Source organism: Homo sapiens, chromosome 1, assembly GCF_000001405.40.
Source record: "Homo sapiens chromosome 1, GRCh38.p14 Primary Assembly".
Lineage (NCBI taxonomy): Eukaryota > Metazoa > Chordata > Mammalia > Primates > Hominidae > Homo > Homo sapiens.
In genome coordinates, this window is record NC_000001.11 from 74,360,888 (window position 1) to 74,381,698 (window position 20,811).

Below are 20,811 nucleotides of genomic sequence, written 5' to 3' on the forward strand. Positions count from 1 at the left end.
GCAAGCATTTGGGCCTTTAATTCATTGTCTTCCAAAAATTTGAATTCAGTGGATGACTCCTAATAGATATTCATGCTTGTTGAAATCAGTAAGAGAGACAGGAAGAAAATATTTTAGACAACATTCTTTTCCATGTTCTGCTACATGGCATCTGGTGAGTTGATATTCTAAGAAATACTAACTGTCACTTTTCTGTTGTCTCTGTAACTATTTCTGTAAATATCATAGGTTCCTTATTAACTGCACAGTCCTAATATTCAAATAAACAGGCAAAATATTTTAAAATATGTTCTAAAGCTCCTCTTTCCATGCATTGGAACTGCAAAAATTTTCTTCTGGTTGGAATGCTTTTCTCCTACCTTTTTGCTTAATGAGTTTGTCCTCATCTTTCAAGTTGAGCTTAAAAGACAGTCTCAACTATCCTGACTCTTCCAGACTGTTGTAAGATTCACCATTATACACATTCACATCATGTACCTTTTCTTCCTAGAGCTTGGCTAAATAAAATTTGAGTGAAATTATATTTATGTAATTTTTTCCACTAGATAGCATTGAATATAAAAGTAAATAATATTTCTTTTTCAACCCTCTCACTCATACCTAGTATCATTCATTCGTTCAACAAAAATGTATTGCCAACCTAATGTGTGACAGACACTGTGCTAGGAACAGTAAAACAGATAATACCTCCCTGATCTTAGGGAGTTTGCATTTTTAACTTGAAGACACAGGCTGCAAGCAAGAAAGCAAATAGAAAATATGGGTTAACAATAAGTACTATGAATAAAATAAGAAGGAAATGCAATGGTGAACACAAAATTCAAGGATACTATCTAAAATTGAGTAATCATGGAAGGGGAAGGTCTCTCTGGGAAGGTGTTATTGGAGCTGGCCCCTCATAGGTGCACAATGAATATTTGAGGAAGAAAAGGAAAGAGAAAGGAAAGCAGAATGAGAAAAAGAGAAAAAGGAAGGATAGCTAAATAATTTAGTTTGGATATAAAAATATCTTGGCAAAAGCATTCATGCCTGTGGATTCTTCTCTTAAGGTAAAGGACCAGTGACATCCTTACTGGGGCCTGCTGATTAAGGAACAAGAATAATGGGTCAAAGGGGATGTGAGTTCCCTCTCTGTGATATAAAATTAGGACATCTTTCATATTTAAGTGATGAGAAGATGTAGCAAGCCAGAAATTTTTGTCGCCTCTGATCTAATAATGAACAGTGTATGGGACCAGGGTGGTCAGGAGGAAGGTGAGCCATTGAAGGGCAATTGTCCAAAGCCACCCTCTGATTCCACTTTTCAATGCTTCTGGAAAGTGAGTTTTTAACATAATGGGAAGGGGATATATTAAAATATTGAACAAAGCCTAATATTTATCATTACTGTGAAAGTTTGATTATTTGGGCCAGGTATAAAGTAAGGCCTAGTCTGTTCCTTTGATGACCTGAGCATGTGAGACATGAGGTCAATGAGAATTCCTTCTGTAACTGAGACTAAATCTCCATGTTCTCTATACAGCCGTGAACCCAAAGGGTCTCTGAGTCACCAAATCATGGAGATCTTAGTACTGGTGTCATTTACCACTAATCTCCAGATCTAGTTCTTAAAATATTCTCAGAGCAAGAGATTAGAATCAGCTTTCATTGTTTTTAAGTTAAAATTGTGGGGGACAGAGAGACAACCTTATAGGGAGATAAATTGTACTTCCCTTCTTGAATAATTATAAAGCATCTATTGTATATATGACTATGATGTAGATATTAAACTGTCTTTGTAACAGTCTCTTGGATTGACTTGTCATCTTAAACAAAACCTAGGTTTTAAAATAACTATTAAGAAAGTTGAAAGCAAAGAGGATTTAACAGGGGGAGAAATCACACCAAATATAAGAAGTAAAGGAACACAAATAGACAAATTAAAGGGAAAGCACTGAATTTGGAGAATACACACAGGACTGAAAGAGTGAGGAGCAGGAAATGAAAGAGATTTCAAGCTGGGAGAAGAATCACATTTGCCAAAACCCTCAGGTGCTCCAGTGAATAATACTCTAAAAGTGCAGATCATCATTAGAGTTGCATTAGGCTAATAACATAGCGACCTTCTATTTTGGTAAAATGCTTGGGTGTAGATAGTAAATTCTTAAATATAGGAAAACATTTTATTTAATTAGTGGAAGTTTGATTATCTCTGGAGGTATTCCATTAGTGTGCCTTGGTTATCTGGGTGTATCCATTATCAGGAGTTTGGCTTAACACGTCCATTTAGTGAGCTCCATTAAGGTTTATTTTTCTGCCTAACTCCTTGTGGCCAAGTGTCCAGGAGCTGGGCTTTAGTGGGTTTTGGGTTTCTTTCCATGTACTTTAGTGGCTTGTCAGAGCAGTTGTAGTCATGGAAAATTTCCCATACGTGGGTGCCTTAGCCCACAGTTAGCATGAGGGGGGAAATCAGGCAGAGATGCCTTCCAGAGCTGAGGGGGCCTCTTGGCATTTTCCTGGCAGCCTCATGCTTATCATCAGCCAGAACCCAGGCACTCATTAGGCTCTTGATGAAAAGCATCCCAAAGAAAATGCCAGCAAATTGTGCCACTGTGCTGGCAGGAAATGAAAACTGCTCAGAGCAAGTGGAGCCAAGAGAGCTGTTGAAATGAAAGGTAACATCAAGGGTGTGATCACTAACTCACACAGGCGCTCAGGATTCAGGATGCAACTTTCTGCTTCATTGGGGAAAGCATGAGGCCCTCTCATCTGTCAGCCGATGTCAATTCTATATAGGGGCTGAGATAGACTGGAAGGTGGGCTCTGTGAATTAAGCTTTGTTGTGCTTGGGTAAATGTAGGGGTTTGGGTTGTTTTTATTCCCCCAAGAAGTGTCTCCTAGGAAAAACAGAAATAAGAAAAAGTTTTTGTTTTTGTGTTTTTCCTGGGCCCAAACACTTGAAGACCAAATTAAGTAAAAGGAAGATTCCAAAAGCACTATAGGTCCTATTAATGTGGGATTAGACAGTGTGAAGGGAGGAAAAAATAAATAAAAAATAAAAAAAAACCTTAGAATCTGTGACTCTAGCAAGGAACAGATGAGGGGTATTATTATTATTATTATTATTATTATTATTATTATTATTTTAGAGACAGGGTCTCACCCAGGTCTAGCCCAGGCTGGAGTGCAATGGTGTGATTGTAGCTCACTACAATCTTAAACTCCTGGGTTCAAGTGATTCTCCCACCTCAGGCTACCCAGTAGCTGGGACTACAGGCAGATGCTACCATGCCCCACTAATTTAAAAAAAAATTTTTTTTAGAAATAGGGGTCATGCTATGTTGCCCAGCCTGGTCTTCAACTCCTGGCCTCAAACAATCCCTCCACCTCAGCCCCACAAAACACTGGGGTATGAGTCAAGACACTCAGCCAAATTTTAATTCCAAAGGAATTTTTGGTCTTTAGTACTACTTTTATCCTGAGGTTAAAATGGCCACCAAAGCTAGAAAAGAAAATGCTCAACAGCAGGCAGCACCAACACACAAGCAAGGCACAAGCACACTGAAATATTCATGAAACTGGATGTGGTAGGTAGAGTAATGCCCCCTCAAAGATGTTCAGTTCCTGTTCACTGGAACTGTAAGCAGGCTGCCTTACATGGGGAAGAATCAAGGAGGTAGAGTAATGCCCCCCGCCACCCCCAAAGATGTTCAGGTCCTGTTTGTTGGAACTGTAAGTAGGCTGCCTTACATGGGGAAGAATCAAGGTTGTTATTTAGCTGACTTTAAGAGATAGATTATCCTGGATTATCCCAGTGGGCTCATTGTAATATGGAAAAGGGGGGCAGAAGCAGAGGTCAGAGCAATATGATATGAGGACTAAGCCAACCATTGCTGGCTTTGAAGCAATAGGAAGGGGGCTACAAGCCAAGGAATGTGGGTGGCCTATAAAACTTGGAAAAGTCAAGGAAACCAATTATCTCCTAAGGCCTCTAGAAAGAAATGCAGTCCTGCTGACACCTTGATTTCAGCTCAGAGAAAACCATGTTGAACTTTTGACCTCCAGAATTATAAGATAATAAATTTGTATTGCTCAAGTCACTATGTTTGTCATAACTAGCAATAGCAGCAATAGAAAATGAATACACTGGTATTTAGAAGATTCGTCTGAAATTCCAAAAAGGAGTTTCCAAGTTCACCTACAATTCTTGGGGCAAAAAGTAAAGTGTAAAAGCAGTGACAAGACCCAAAATGCACACTGATGTGTTAGAACTGTAAGGCATATTACATACATCATCTTAGTTAATCTTTACAACAATCTTACAAGGGTGGATTATCGTTTCTAACCTGTAGATGACGATCTTTTTAAAAAGTAAAACAGATCATATCCTTTAACTAATTAAAATGCTTCAGGGGCTCCCCATCTCGCCTACCCTACACGAAAATCTCATCTCCTTATCCTCACCTGTAAAGCTCTACATCAGTCGCAGTCAAAGTGCAGATTGCTGATGAGCATCACCTGGGACCTTGTTAGAAACACAACACTCAGCCCCTACTACAGACTTTTTCAATTGTGATCTATTGGGACAGGGCTTGGGAATCTGTTTGAACTTGCACTTCAAGTGATTCTTATACATAGTAAAAAAATTTGAGAAGCACTACTCCACATGAAGTACACTTGCCTACCTCTCCAACCAAATCTGATACCACTCTCATCCTTGCTTGTGTAGCCACACTGGCCTTTTTTCATTCTCTAAACATGTTATGTTTGCTCCCATCTTGGGACTACTACATTATCTATTCTCTCTGCCTATTAGGTGCTTCCCCTAGAAATTAGTTTGTTGGCTAATGTCCTTAAATTAGTCTTAAGGTTTCCCTGATCGTGAGCTCGCTGCAGTCCAAAGAAAGAATGCCAATGGGACTGCCCCCCACGTTATTTCATTATAACTTATTCCTATGATTTGAGAAAATTAGAGATCCACCAGTCATGAATAGAAAGCTGGAGATGATAAGAAAATAGACACTAGTTTTTAACTATGTAGATTTAAGTTTTGCTACCAGTTTTAGCAATTGTAATCACAATGCTTTTTTTTTTTTTCCTCGAAGAATCTTAGCCTTGTTACCTTTGGAAAAGCTTTTCGTGTTTGTAAATACCATGATTTTTCCACCTCATGATCTTGAATGCACTGTTCATTTAAAGTTTTTGCGGAAGGGAAGATTTGAAAGGCAAGCAAATCTCAGCATATACTCTCTACATAAGCTAGATGTATGCTTAACCCATGTTAACTACAGATCCTTTGTGATGGATAAGTATTTATGCTTTTTCAATTCCTTAAATTTACCAGTTTTACAATAAGCTCTGTTGTATTTCACAAATCCTATGGCAACATCTTTAAGGTTGGCTGTTTTTCTCTTTTGTAAATTAGCTTCATAGATTATTTTTATAGTGAACGCATTAAAATAGTATTGAAGTTTAATTTTATTGAAAAACATTGCATTACTCAGAGGATCATTTGGCATTTTTTATCCTTCACAATCATAAGCCCCTAGTGTAACTAGTAAACACTAGATTGTTGGTGGTGTTATAATAGAAAAGTATTTCTCATATAGCACTTCAGGGTGGGCATTTCTGGTCAGTGGATGGCTTTCTTCCAACCCTCAGAGCTTCAGAGCCTTCTGCATCTAGCCAGCAAATGGGAAGAGTAGAGAAGGCTCACCTGTTTCTTAAGGCACAGACCTGGAAGTTACTTCACTTTTGCTCATATTCCCTTCATGAAAATATGTCGCAAGGCCACAGTTGGATGCAAGGTACATAGGAAAATGTCACTGGGTGGGCAGCCATTCCCAGTGACAAAATCACCCTGTGAAAGAGGAGTACAAATATTGGCAGGCAGCCAGCTGTCTCTAAAAACCTATGTAAATTATCTTAGTGCTGCATAATACTACAATACTGAATCAAATGTACGCTCAATCACAGCAAATACATCTCTCTTTCCTGATTACTGTATGTACTTTTTGCCCTTTTAATAGTGCCCTTATTATATATTCCCATAGTACTTAGTATTGCCTTATTTAGAAATCCTCATCATTTTTCTGATTATTTGTTCAACTACATTGTAAGCTTCTTAAGGGTAAGACCATAGTCACTTTGTTCACTGCATCACCAGTACCCATTCCCAGTAGAGTGCCTGACATAGTGCTTCGCATATGGTAGTCTTAAGAAATCATTTTGAACCAAAGAATGAATGAACTAAATTTCTATTGCAATACATTACCTCTTATGATTTGTCCTATGTTGTAAGCTACTTCCAATAATTTTTGGATTTGAGAGTAGACTGAATAACTTAAACAAAATTTAGGACTCTTTGTTCTTTGTATCTTTTCATAAAGGGCATGATGCCATTGTCACACTCCTGAAGCATTATAAGAGACCACAAGATGAATTGCCCTGTAATGAATATTCTCAGCCTGGAGGAGGTACCCCTTTTCTTATTCAGTTTTCATTATTGTATAATATATTGTGCCTAAAGGTAAACCTGTGTTTCTGTTACTATCATTCTTTCAGGGGTTAGGGAGGAGGGCATAGCCTATGTCAGATTAGATTTATTTTAAGTAACCTTATGTCTGGGAGAGGCTGAACATAAAGAAGCCTCCATTTCAGCTATTTTCTAACTCACCAATCTGCAGCTCCTCCAAGTTTAACATTTCCCAGACTGGATGTTTATGAGGCTTGTGCATGACTAGGAAGGCCTGGATAAGCTGAGAGCAGTCATTTTCCATTTCAGTAATCTATTACTGAATACTCATATCCAGAGACAAATTAAATCTGCTAGAGTCTGCTACAACTTGGATTTTCTAAAAAATCTTTTTATGCACTTTCTAAATAAACACTTGCAGTACAATTTCAGTATCCAGAGAAAGATTTGGGCCTGAAGCGATAGTTTTACTTCGTTTCGTCACCTGCTTATTTTTATAATGTTGAACTTTTATGTAGAAAAAAATGATCGCTACTTTCAACTCTATTATATAATTTAATTTCTAGATGGCTCCTATGTGTCTGTTCCATCACCCTTGGGGAAGATTAAAAGCATGACAAAAGGTACCTATAATCTGGGACAATTGTTATATTTAATTACTAAGGATAACTATTGCTTCAAATGTAATTTTCAATTTTGTTTTACATATTACAAATGATGACTATTTTACAAGCACAACAAATATTATTGACAGACCGTTCTTTTCATAATTAACCTTACCCTTTATCTCCTTTCAGTGCATAAAGATATAATAACAGTGAAAATTTCACATAACTATTAAAGAAAAATCAAATTCTCACTGGACTGTTTAGATGTTTCTGTTTTTTATAAAAATGAATTATAAATATTAATATTTCTTTAAGGAGAATTGGGACTAGAAAACATATGTGAAAAAATATATATTATTTTTCAAAATATCCCCAATAAGTAATACTTTGGGACCATTTTTGAATGTATGCTTCACACAGAAATGAATAACATTGGACCAGGAAAGTAAAAACTTTGATTCAAATGTAAATATATATTTAACTATTTGGAATTTAAATTCCAAATAGTTTCCTTAGAATGTAGAATGAGTGTTTCCTTAGAATGATTCATACGCTTATTTCCTGTCATTTAATTGGCATCCCTTTGAGGTTAGTTTATGGATATTTGGCTAAGCCTATTGGAATAGACTGAAGAGAGTTACCAGATCAGAACCTTTATCATAATGTGATACGGACTGGACTCCAGGGTTGCCATGTCATGCAGGAATAGATCAGGAATAGACCTTCAGCCCTGCTAACAAGGAGTGAGTAGATCAGGAATAGACCCTTAGCGCTGGTAACCAGATCAGGAATAGACCCTTAGCCCTGGTAACCAGATCAGGAATAGACCCTTAGCCCTGGTAACAAGGAGTGAGTAATCAAGACATAGAACTAACATGATTTTAATGCAGGGGGGTAGGGATCATTTGGGTTAAGGTTTTAGCATCTTTAAGTAGTCAATTACAGTTGGAAAATTAAAAATTAAATGTTATTAGGAAATTATGTTTTTAGTTAAATATATATATGCACATGTATACACATCCATGTGTGTGGTTTTTACCTTAAAAAATAAAATGACAATTTCTCTTTGCAGAGAAGGCAGATATTCTCCTCCTAAGAGCTGGATTGCCTTCACATTTCCATCTTCAGCTCTCAGAAATTGAGTTCCATGAGATTATTGGCTCAGGTAACCTAAAATAAATAAATAAATAAAGGTCCGGTTTAGTTGAATGAGCTTAAGTTAATATGTGTTTATTTATTTATTTTAAACAATTGTAGGTTCTTTTGGGAAAGTATATAAAGGACGATGCAGAAATAAAATAGTGGCTATAAAACGGTAAGCAAGCAAATGAAAAAATTTAACATCCAGGTGGAATTGTGACCTTTGAGAAGCATGTGCATGGCAAGCCCCTTGTTTGGATCCATCTGTTTACTGAAGATTTTCTGTTGCTGCCATTTCCAGTTATCGAGCCAATACCTACTGCTCCAAGTCAGATGTGGATATGTTTTGCCGAGAGGTGTCCATTCTCTGCCAGCTCAATCATCCCTGCGTAATTCAGTTTGTGGGTGCTTGCTTGAATGATCCCAGCCAGTTTGCCATTGTCACTCAATACATATCAGGGGGTTCTCTGTTCTCCCTCCTTCATGAGCAGAAGAGGTATGGGTCTTTTGTTCTGATTTATCCTTGGACATTCCGTAGAAACTACTCTTGCAATACTTCAGAGGGTTTCCCATTGGATGAGCCTTCACCTTTTGAAATCTGAGTGCTGCTAGCAAGTGTGTCATTTTTAATATCGCTAATAATTTATGCCTAATAACTGTGTTTCAATGAATAGAAATACTTTATGCTTTCTTAGCAGAAATTCAGTTGAAGATAACAAATTTAAGGAATTTAAATTGGAAACTGGAGCTTAAAATAATTAGGCTAAATTTGAAATACTGATAAAGAAGATATATGTAAGCTCAGAATAAAATAAACTTTTAAAAAAGTGATCTTGAACAAATCCAATGTGAATTCACTTTCTGAGTTTATGCATATAGTAATTAGAATGTAGTTTCATACAGTGATTAAAATAGATTTCATTTTACAATATTACAAAGAAATTAAGTATAGTATTATAAATAAATTATAAAACCAAGTATAATATCTTAAACAAGAGATGCTGTATATCTTAATTGATTCATAATTAAGCATTTTCTGATGTAGGAAAGCTATTCAGATTTGTTGAATTTCTAGCTTAACCTTCAAGAAACAAAAAATGGTTAAGATGATATAAAATAACAACTCTTACACATCATTTGCTTTTTTGATATTCGTTTTGACCATTTCATCTCTGTTAAATCTATTTTTAAATTCTAGGATTCTTGATTTGCAGTCTAAATTAATTATTGCAGTAGATGTTGCCAAAGGCATGGAGTACCTTCACAACCTGACACAGCCAATTATACATCGTGACTTGAACAGGTATTTTTTTCCTAAATAATGAACTCAGAAGGGTATGACTAACTGGGAGTTTAAGACAGATTTCAGTGAAGATACATTTTAGACTTATTGCAGATCAGGGTACTCTGTGGTTAAGAGGACAGGCTACCATAAGCTTAGGCGATAGAAAGTTTTGTCATTGTCTTTTAAGGAGTAGAAAGCTGTATAACTGCTTCTCAGGGATCTTTTAAATCTATGAAGAATATTCACAAATATAGTAATATCTGTAAGATGCACCAGCTAACTAGTTCCCAGGTCAGTAAGGTCACATCAAGCAGTGAGCTAAATGGCTATTAAAAAAATGATATGTCTCCTATAAAGTGAAGTGTTGGAGTAGCTCCTGATATAAAATTATCTGAAACGTACTTTGTGCTACCGTAAATTCAGCTTAACCACAACAGCTTATTTACCTAGTTATCAGGTAAAGAGGATTTCATGTGAAACAAATATAAAATCAGAGTGTTCCAGTGGTGGAACCCCAAGTGACCTCAAAACTTTTCCTAAATAGTGAAAACTTTCTCTGAGTAAAGTCTTATAGGAAAGGCCAATATACAAAATGGAGCAGTGTTGGGTGAAGGTAAAGTGGGGAGGAGAAAACTCTATTTACTTCCCATTTCCCACTGCTAAGGAGAGAGATTCCTGCACCACCTCTGTGGAAGCCCAAAGGTGCTGTAGAGAATAGTTGGACAAACACTGATTTAGTTTATGAAGCAAGTCAGATTATTCCACATCAATCACTTTCATTTTATGATAGTCAATAAGATTCAAATAGATTGTGTATATAGTCCTTTATAGAAGCTTTACAGTTCTGAAGCTAGTAAATATTGATTACTCTAGTCAGTCATTTGGTCAACAACTATGTTTGAACATATATGTTTAAAGACTATTTTCAGCACAGTAGAGCTTACAAAGTGGGACGTTCATAGACTACATTCAGGGAGTTTTCACACTCTATGTAGAGGAGAAAAATATTTACCTAAATGTATTTGAGGTATAAAATAATAAGTTATATACAAGATTTAGTACAAAAATTTCAGGAACAAGAATATTAATTGCTTCTGAGGATTCTAACAACAACTCTATGGAAGGGATGACATATGAGCTTGGTCCTGAAAGATGGGTAGTTTGGAAGAGCATCCTATAGGCTTAGGGAAGACATAATAAAATGCATAGAGATTAGAAAGTTAAAGGTATATATAGGAACTATAGTTTCATTTTAGTATACAAAGTGTATAAATGTATGTAATGTGTATAATGTAAGAAGTGGACAACTGGAAAAAGGTATAGAAAAATAGAAAAAGAGCACAGACACCAGTGAATGCTATTACTAAGGTATTTCAGATTTTTTTTCCTGTAAGGAGACCATAAAGAGGTTTGAGCTGAAAATCACAAATTTGGAGCTATATTATTGAAAGATGAATCCAGCATCTGGTAAAATATCAACTTGAAGGGAAAGTCAAGAAACTAGTGAGGGAGTTGTTGCAGTAATCTAGATAAGAAGTAACGAAAAGCAGAATTTCACCGGTGGCAGTGGATATGAAAGGAAGAGACATGTCAACTTTAAATAACAAAATACAGAGTTTATTCAAGCTCAAAGCTTGAGGATCATTACCCATGAGCATGGACTCAAGTTGTCCTGAATACATACTCCAATTAGCAGTGGTTACAAGATAGTTTTTAAGAAAAAAAAAAAAAAAAAAAAAAGCAGTTTTTAAGTTGTTTACAAAGAATTTACATAAATAATATAAACTATTGATTGGTTGTACCTTGTTCTTTAATCAAAAATTATAGGAACATAAAGATAATGGGTAACACAGCTAGTCAGGAACAAAATACCTTTACACTATTGCCCCAGGGAAATGGAGATTGGAGAGATGACTAAAGTCCCATGCTCATGTCTCTCTGGGCCTGATAAATTTTGTGTTGCTCATACAGCTCAGACTGCCCTCAGCTATTTTTCTCTTCTCAGATAGATATGAAAGATAGGAGAGATAAATCAGATACGTGAGTGGTAGAATCTTAAATATTGAAAGTAAATGTAAATAAGTCTCAATCTATTTATAATTATTTACTAGTTTTCACATAAAAGTCATTTCTTAATTTTTAGCTATTAGTTCTTTACCTTTCTTAATTTCAAACCAAACATTTACGTTAACAAACATTTAACTATTTCAGACACAGATTTAGATGATAAATTAGCATAATATAAACCGATGATTTTGAGTTTTAAGAGTATTATCTTTCCATCCCAAACATTTTTGCACATGGTATTAAAACAAATGAGTAATCATTGCAATAAGTAATCATTGCAAGTTTTCTCTAGCTGTAACTCTTCATTTGTGGGGCCATTATATATTCTGTTGCCCTGAGTTATGTGCAAGTTGTTACCACCAGTTGTCAGGCAGGACCAAAAATATAAATGTTGATTAAAATAAAAACAGAACATTTACTATATAGCTGATATAAGTTTATATCTACAATTTTTGCTGCCTCTAATCTAACCTAAATGCTTAATTGCATCAAAAAGTTTTTAAATCTTATGAAACACCATTTTGTAGGTGCCTTCATTATGACAGAGTCCCAAACTATTGTATCAATTATTTGTAGACTATTTTCTATCAATCTTTAATCTGGTAGCAACAGCAAAACATTGTTTTTCAGATGCATGCATATGTAGCATTCTACATGGCTCAAAAGAGCCTGGGTCCTTTCCCTCAGAGAGCTTACTGCACTACTTGGCAAATAAGACATATGCCCAGAAAGCAACTAGAGTTCCACTTTATATAGAAAATAATTAAGGGTCAAAATGATGAAAGAGCAACTTTCAGAGGATTTCAAGTAAGTCAAAGATGAAAGTTGAGTAGAATGCTTCTTAGCCTATGTGGAGCTAAACGTAGAGTTTGAAGAACAGGCATTAATCTTTTCTCAGGCTTTTCACAGCATACTAACCTCTGCTTTAGCATGGTACCTAGAAAGTCTCACTCAAAGAAGTAGAGAGAAAGATGCACATCAGAGACTGGGAAACTCATACACTTATTTGCATTTGTATTGACATGGTGTGTTTATATTTTTATATTCCCCATTAGCCTGGGCAAGTCAGGGTTTCAGGGGCAGAGACTGCTCTCTTCATCTCACATTTTCTGAACTAAGCATTGTGTCTTACACAGAGAAGATGTCTAATTAATATTTTTTAACTGAACCAAATTATTGTGGATTTCTATGAGTGTCATTTCACGAAGCAATGACCTAATTGGTATAAGTATGACTACTTGTGTATAGCATCCAACTTGCCCAATAACTTTTATAATTTTAAAGGGAAAAGGATGTTTGAGCCCACGGGATGGGGCACTTTTATATTTGAGTTTGTGGTTGTTGCAATTGTTTGAGTGAAAAAAAAGAACTCTACTTTTCCCATGGCAAGCAAAGCCAGCTGAGGGTTTGTACCATCCAGTTCTGAAAGTTAATTTTGATCTTCAGTAAATGTCCCTTGGCATCTGCAGGGGATTGGTTCCAGGACCTCTCATGGATACCAAAGTCTGAGAATGCTCAAGTCCCTGGTATTAATTGCTGTAGCATTTGCATATTTCCTATGCACATCCTCTCCTGTACTTTAAATCATTGAAAGAGTACCTATAATATCTAGTACAATGTAAATGCTCTGTAAATAGTTTTTGCACTATATTGTCTAGGGAATAATGACAAAGGAAAAAGAGTCTATACATCTTCAGTACAGACACAATCTTTAAAAAAATTTTTTGATCCATGGTTAGTTGAATCCACAGAAGTGAAACCTATGGATTTAGAGGGCCAACTATATATACTAAGGAAAAGTTCAAGGAAGGAGTAAGAAAGTAGTTATTTTCAATGTAAATGATGATAATGATAATACCTACCATTTATTTATCACCATATGAAAGGAGCTTTGCTAAGTTTTTCATGCTTTCATTTAACCACGCAACTCTATGGGATAGTTGTTATTATTTCCATTTTACAGATAAGGAAACTGACTAAAGAGACTAAGTCTGTAGTATTCTGTATCTTCTACTGTAACAACAACAACAGCAAAACCATGTGAGAAGAGAGAGATAGAAGGAGCGTACTGATGATATTGAATGGGCATCAGCAATATTTATCAGCCTTACTCTCTGTACTTTAATCTTTTAAAAAGTCAATTCCTGTGACCCAAACAATTTCTCATATCATCTTATGCTTCTGTGTTCCTGCTTTATTTCTTCTTTCACACTCCATGTTCTGCTGGTGTGGAACAGATGTTGCATAGAAAGCATGCAGATAGGTTTTGTTTGGCCCATAGTGTTTAAATATTTTGAAAATGTTCATAATTCAAGCAGGAATGTACCTCTCTAATTTGCTGTAGACCTCACCACCTACCAACTTATATTTGGTCTAATTTATACATTCATTTTGTGGCATTGGAGTTTGCTAGTCATTATTTATAGCTTAAAGGATTTAAACTTTTTACTTAATACTAGAAGCTGTGTGTTTTTCTTGGAAAAGTATATTTTTCAAATTGTTTGACACTGAAGCAGAAACATCACTGCAAACATACATGGATCAAATACATGATATTCTCCTTCTATAAAGATATAGTATTATATGTTATATTAACACTGTAAGGAATTAAATAGTGATAACCTCCATCACAAAGTGCACATGGCATTCACATGAAATATGTATATGAAATCATTTTATAAACTGTGAAGCACCATACAAAATGCATTTTTTATTACTCTTAATTCCTCATTTGTTCCCTTTAATATTGGGGATGGAAAAACACTCCACAATTAAAACCACCTTTGCAAAAACTACAACTGAGAAAATTATGACTGAAAGATCTGACTTGACTCCACTTTGCTTCTAACCTGCAAGCTGTTCTTGTTCATTCATGGACATAGGCCAAAATAACTTTGGGAGGAACTTGAAACTAAGACAATAATAGCCCTTTCACAAAACAAACCTCTTTCCTGCCTGGGGACTACACTACCTTCATAGGACTAACAAATTAGCCACAAGATTAGAAATAATGGTTTAGGAATCACATAGCTGGAGACTGAAAGATTAGAAACCTCCCCAGATTGCTTCTGGGGATAAATCACTATTGCAAAACCTAAGATCAGTGCTTGAGATATTTTGCAGATGCTGTACAGGATGGCTCAGCTGCTACCACCCAGACTGATAAACTGGGTCATCTGGTCTCCTGGCCCCAGGAGACTGACTCAGCATCAAGAGGACAACTTTGACACCCTATGATATCATCTCCAACCCAACCAATCAGCAGTCCCCACTTTCAGACCCCTACCCACCAAGTTTTCCTTAAAACCCCCATCCTCAAGTTTTTGAGAAGACTGATTTGAGTAATAATAACACTCTTCTCTCCTGTACAGCTGGCTGTGCGTGAATTAAACTTTTCTCTATTGCAATTCCCGTCTTGATAAATCAAATCTATCTAGGCACCGGGCAAGGAGAACCCACTGAAGGGTCACAACGATATTCTCATACATACAGAGGTTTTTTTTATATGATATAACTAATTAGTTTGGGGTCTAGATCTGAGAAGGACTCACCGTTTTTGACTGTCAGCTTATTCTAGTGGGTATAAAGGAAAATAATGAGTGATAATTTTAAAATAGCCAACTTTCCAATGACAAATGACAGGTAATTTAAAAAGACAGAGCTGTTATGAGCTAAAAAAATCTTAATTTTGAAGATGACATTTAACTCAAATAGTGAAGATTTTAGGAACTGCCAAAGAAAAATATTATTGATAGAAAATTATAATAGTTGCTTTTAATTTGATATATGCATTTGCCTCTCAGTTGAATGCAAAATATAAAATTCCTGCATGTAAAAAAAACACAACAATTAAGTAAAATAAACAAATTGTTAATTTTCTAATTTGTGTTCCTCAAATTCCATGTATTATAGAGTCCCTCTCCCAGCTATTTCTTTAACTTGTGACTTTTCTAATAAGTGCTTAAACAGAAAGAATTCTGCATCCATTGGCAAATATCATCTTCAGGAGACTTCTGAAGACCTATATGCAGACCAATTAACTGATTATATTACCATACTTATAAAAGTCCTGCAAGAGAACCCATTAAAACTCTTATGAAATCCTTGACAACCCTGTATCTGTGATTCTCTAGTATAAAACCAGTCATCACAAGTAGCATTTTAAATTTTATCAATTATTTTTACTCATTTGCACTTGAAAAATGTCAATTAATTAAATAATATCAAATACTTATTGAATACATGATATGATCTAGGGTCTATGCTATGCCGTAGGGGTACAGGTGAGAAGGACAGATCATAACACTTTTTCCAGCAGAGCATAGAGCCTAAGGAAGCATTTACAAACTTTCCTGAAGAATCATTTGGGGGCCTTCATTAAAAAAAAAAATAAAAGATTCAAAGACACTGAAGGGACTGACTGATTCAGCATGTCTTACGTTGGGCCTGAGAATCTACACTTTTAAACAAGACTACCAATTAATTCTTATGACCTAGGAGAGGAAACATTGTTCTAGTGCAGTGGTTCTCAGTTTGGCTGCACAGTATCTAAGAGAACTTTAAGAAAATCCTGATGCTGATTACATCAGAATCTCCAGTCTTGGGGCCTACGTATCATATTTGGAGAGAGAGCACTTCAAGTTATTCCAATATCTAGGCAAGGTTGAGAATCACATTTTAGTCTGATGTCAATTATTCCTCTTGATCATTTGCCGTATAACTTCATTCTTCTCTGCTGCCAGAGTAAAGTGGGAATATTAGGGAATCAAGTCACAACGTAACTCCAAATGTTTTCAAAGTAATCACCCTAAAGTCAGTCTAATTATTCATTCATTCGTACATTTGTGTATCGACTTACTCAGTAATGAATGTCAAAGACAGAGATCCACACACCCATGGTACCTATGGCACAGAATAGGTCCCAAGATTTGGCAGTTTCCATGGGAGTTGTACCATACAAGGCTCCTCCAGAGAAAATAACTTCTAATTTATGAATGACACTAGAAAATTCCCTAGAGTGTAGAATCTTCACAAGTAGCCAAAACAGATACAAAAGTTTCAATACCAGACAATTATATTGCACATGGTTTATGTAAGTACTATATATCCATATAATACAGAATTATATGTAATAAATAGATACACATATAAAGAGAAGGATTCATATATATGTGTACATATTCTATATTAGTCTAGGGTTTATAGCCTTGAATACCCACATGAACTGCAGTGTGCACTGCAGTTGTCTGATATTAAAACTTTTATTTCTGTTTCGGCTATCTGTGTAGATTCTACACTCCTGGGAACTTTCTGATATCACCCACGAATTCTAAGTAATTTGCTCCCAAGGAGCCTAGCACAGATAACACAACTCCCATGGAAACTGCTAGATCTTTGGACCTATTCTGTGCCATGGGTACCATGGGTTTGTGGATCTCTGTCTTTTTAATTCACTATTATATCAATGCACATATAAGTATACATATTTATATATAAATGCCCATATAAACAGACACATTTCCATATGTTTTCGTAATGCTTCCAGCCTTTTAAAACTAGAAGAAAGAAGTCAGCTCTACAGAGGGTGAGTTCAGGGATGATTTTCAAATCTCCTCAGCATGAGAAATAATCACTATCATTTGGAGTACATAGAAGAAAAGTTAATTCATAATATACAATGGATGCCTTAGGGATTAGGGCTACCTGTAGTTCTGAAATGTTTATGTCCAAAATTGTAATCTGATTTCAGATTTTCAAGTTAAAATTTTTCTTAAAAAAGCAATCAACTGCAATCAGATTCAATTTTATTACTGCTTTGAGTAATGAAAAAACTAAGCTATATAATTTATTAATATTTACAATATGAAATTCAGATTAGTTAGGGTAGTTTATCTGCTGTAACGATAGAGTCCATAACGTATAATGGTTCCAATACAATTGAAATTTGCATCTTGATTGTGTGGATGAACAAGTTGTTGAGGCGGTCCCTATCCATGATGTTACTCAGGACCCATCTTCAACGTGTGACTTCTAGGGGGTCAACCAAATTCAAGTGAGCACTAATGAGGCAAGAATATATAAGATGTACATGACATGTTGTATGGGCCAGGCATTAGCATGGCACACATTTTGTTGTTGTTGTCAGTTTAATTTTATATATATATATATATATATATATATATATATATATATATATATATTTCATTTCATCACCTCAGCTAATCCCCAAGGGCATTTACACAATTCATAATGACCAATGTGACTTGACAGTGACGCTGAGGGCTTGGCATTGGGTGATACAGTCAGCTCTGTCTTGGTGGCACCATATGAGGTCCTGGGAAATGTAGTCTAGCTGTGTGCCTAGAAGAAGAGGAAATGAGTTTTAGTGGTCAGCCAGAAGTCTGTGCTACATTGACCCTATGTATACTGGTGATAACAGGTAATAGGTGTCTGAGTAATGGTTATAATTAAGAAGGCTGATCTGGATTTGCATGAATCAGTTATACAAATATAATGTTAGTTGCATACTAAATATTTTTAGTTTATTAATGTATTTTCACAATTTATGAACTAATAGCAGTAATTGGGAAATGAATGAAAACTACTTAATAAAGCATGCTATATATGAATTAATTTTGAAATAACTCTTCTCATTCACTTTTGTTAATTTAAAAGCATGAGAATAGCTTTGGGAGTGTGGCAACATATGTCTATGAATCAAAATGTGGTCCAAGAAGAAAAACCTCATTATGACTATGTCCCTGAATTGAAATATGGCTCAAGAGGAAAAACATATAACTATATAAATATAATAGTATGAAATAGGCTATATACATTTTAAAACATTGTCATAATCTCATGCACTATATGTCAGTAAACACACATACACGCGCGCACACACACACACACACACTTTTTTTTCTTCAGGAGTAAACATTAAAATAAAAAGACTATGGCCACTGTATTTAGAGAACCTTGTACCACACCCAACAGAAGGGGCTCCTTAACCACTTAGTTCTACAAATTACTCTAATCCTATTTATGAGCTGCACTCAGTTGTTGGTGTCCAGTCATAATTTCTATCCCCATTTCTGACATGCTCAGTTTCCATATTATGAAGTCAGTCTGTCTGTCTGTCCTCAGCAACCTGAACCTCCAGAAGAAACAGTGAGTTCTCTCTGACTCAAGTTTCTACCCATTATTTCCACAGAGATTCACTATCCAACTCTTCCTGGTTTTTCTCTGAGGGTAGATTCATCCCTGCCTCCTCGACTAATGCTCATAGTTTCCAGAGGGCCAACTGTGTCCCAAACATTCTCATGACATTTCACTTTGGTTAATATTCTCCCCCCTATACTTCACTACTAGAATGTCCTTTAGTCCTGAGTTGTCCTCTTTTTGTCTCCCTACAGAAATAGCTAAAGTTTCCTCCCAGGGCCAGTTAAAATGTTGTTCTTCTCTCATCTGCCTTCATTAGGTCTCATTTAATTTTGGCTGCATTCACCAATTCTAAAAATAGTGCTCTTACTTAACACCCCATTAAGTAAATTCCCTTAGACACACTCCCTTTAAATGAAAACAGGTATATTTAAGTCAGAAAAAGTCATTCGTTTTCCCCACACTATCATATTGCTTGCATAAACCTGGACAAATTTACCATCTCTTACAGTAGCTCCCATCAGAATCTTTGCCTCATTCAGCCCAGACAGACAAATTCCCCAATCTCACATCTTCTGTATGCCATTTGAAATGCTACACAAGACGATGTGTGTGTGCAAATAAATGTATCTGTATAACAGCACAGAAAGGTACTAATTTGACCAAAACTAGAAATCCTGCGATACCAACATTTACTTTTTATTTGCTATAAAAATAGTGCTACTCCACACTGGAACCTGGCAACAGGATTTCTTATTCCAGTGCGTTCTTGTGGTTGAAGTGGTTCACTCTGCAGCCTCTTTCCTTAATACAACACTCACACGGTGCGAATGCTCAAAGCTAGCGTGGTAACTGTACCTTCCCTGTAACAATGTCACCTTCCCGCACCCACAGACTGAGCGTGGAAGGGAGAAGCGACGCCCCTCCTGATCCTCTAAAACCTTTCAAATGCTTTCCTGTAACTGGTGGTGAACTCACTGGCCTGCAATTTTCTGGTGTTACTGGTTTCTTACATTGCCATTTTCTATTCTTTGGGGATATGGCCTGAATAAAGTTGGCTTTTGAAAATGTCAACAAAAGCTTTTCTCTGTTTGGCTTCGTTTCTTCTCTGCTCTCATTTCTTGGGAGGCACTGTGAATGCCCTCTTGGCACCTTGTCGATTTCCTAAGCAGCTAACCTTTCAATAATGATATTAATGCTGCCGTGTGGTAATCTGTGCATTTCTCACTTGATCGTTTTCAACCCTTGCTTGCTGAGATTGATTTGTGTTGTTGTGTTCTTAAGATTCTGGAGTTTAATTGAGTGCAAACTGACTAGGGACCCAGAAACAAAATTTCTAGCTAATAAATGAGAAACAATCTTAATAAGTGGAAATTTGTTTCTAATTGAATTTCCAAGAGCTAGCTATACTTTGAATTTGGCCTTGAAAAAGAGATACAGATAATTATAAACCTTTTTAAAGTCTCATTTAATATTTTCTATTTCAAAATCCTCCCTATTTGGAAGAAAGTTTCTAAATAATGTTAATCTTCTCTGGCTGGGACTACAGCATGGATGCCTCTGGGGATATGTGTTGATGTGGGCTATCACCCTATTGGAAGACCACAGGAGAACTAATTGACGGCATGGGCTCTGAAGCCAGACTAAGCATGTTCACATCCCAGCTCTGCCACATTTTACCTGTGTCCTTGGTCAATTTATTTAACATATCAGTTTTCTAATTTCCAAGACGGTTATATTTAAATGCCTACCTTATTGGATTTAAATGAGAAAATACATTAGCATTATTAGCATTATTTTTCTTCTTTATTCTTTCGAAAGAATCTTTTCACTATTAAATTTTCTTGCATGCCCTAGTTGCCCTCCTGAATTAAATGTTTCTAATGATCTAGCTCTCCTTTTTTATTGTATTACACAAACTTTGCTTATAATATCTCAGATGGATAATTTCTTCTTGCCCTAAAGATCTGGGAAATAATTGGATTGTTTTACTGTAGATCTCTTTCTATAGAGAAGGTCAAGGGGATTCAAATAACAGATTACTGCCTTCATTAAGACCTCTCACTCCTTCTTGGTTCGAACTTGAATCAGGGATTCAG

The 20,811-nt window shown here is 35.9% G+C and overlaps 2 protein-coding genes across 3 annotated transcripts in view; both read left to right on the forward strand.

The window, feature by feature from the left end:
• FPGT-TNNI3K (FPGT-TNNI3K readthrough) overlaps nt 1–20,811 on the forward strand; it is a 346,187-nt gene that overhangs the window by 162,646 nt on the left and 162,730 nt on the right. For both annotated transcript variants that reach the window (NM_001112808.3, NM_001199327.2), the window contains exons 14-19: nt 6,369–6,455; nt 7,021–7,077; nt 8,135–8,227; nt 8,320–8,377; nt 8,504–8,698; nt 9,401–9,505. In NM_001112808.3, the coding sequence (NP_001106279.3) occupies nt 6,369–6,455; nt 7,021–7,077; nt 8,135–8,227; nt 8,320–8,377; nt 8,504–8,698; nt 9,401–9,505 (595 nt within the window). The remainder of the gene's footprint in view (nt 1–6,368; nt 6,456–7,020; nt 7,078–8,134; nt 8,228–8,319; nt 8,378–8,503; nt 8,699–9,400; nt 9,506–20,811) is intronic.
• TNNI3K (TNNI3 interacting kinase) overlaps nt 1–20,811 on the forward strand; it is a 309,042-nt gene that overhangs the window by 125,501 nt on the left and 162,730 nt on the right. Inside the window, exons 12-17 of the mRNA NM_015978.3 lie at nt 6,369–6,455; nt 7,021–7,077; nt 8,135–8,227; nt 8,320–8,377; nt 8,504–8,698; nt 9,401–9,505. Coding sequence (NP_057062.1) covers nt 6,369–6,455; nt 7,021–7,077; nt 8,135–8,227; nt 8,320–8,377; nt 8,504–8,698; nt 9,401–9,505 — 595 coding nt within the window. The remainder of the gene's footprint in view (nt 1–6,368; nt 6,456–7,020; nt 7,078–8,134; nt 8,228–8,319; nt 8,378–8,503; nt 8,699–9,400; nt 9,506–20,811) is intronic.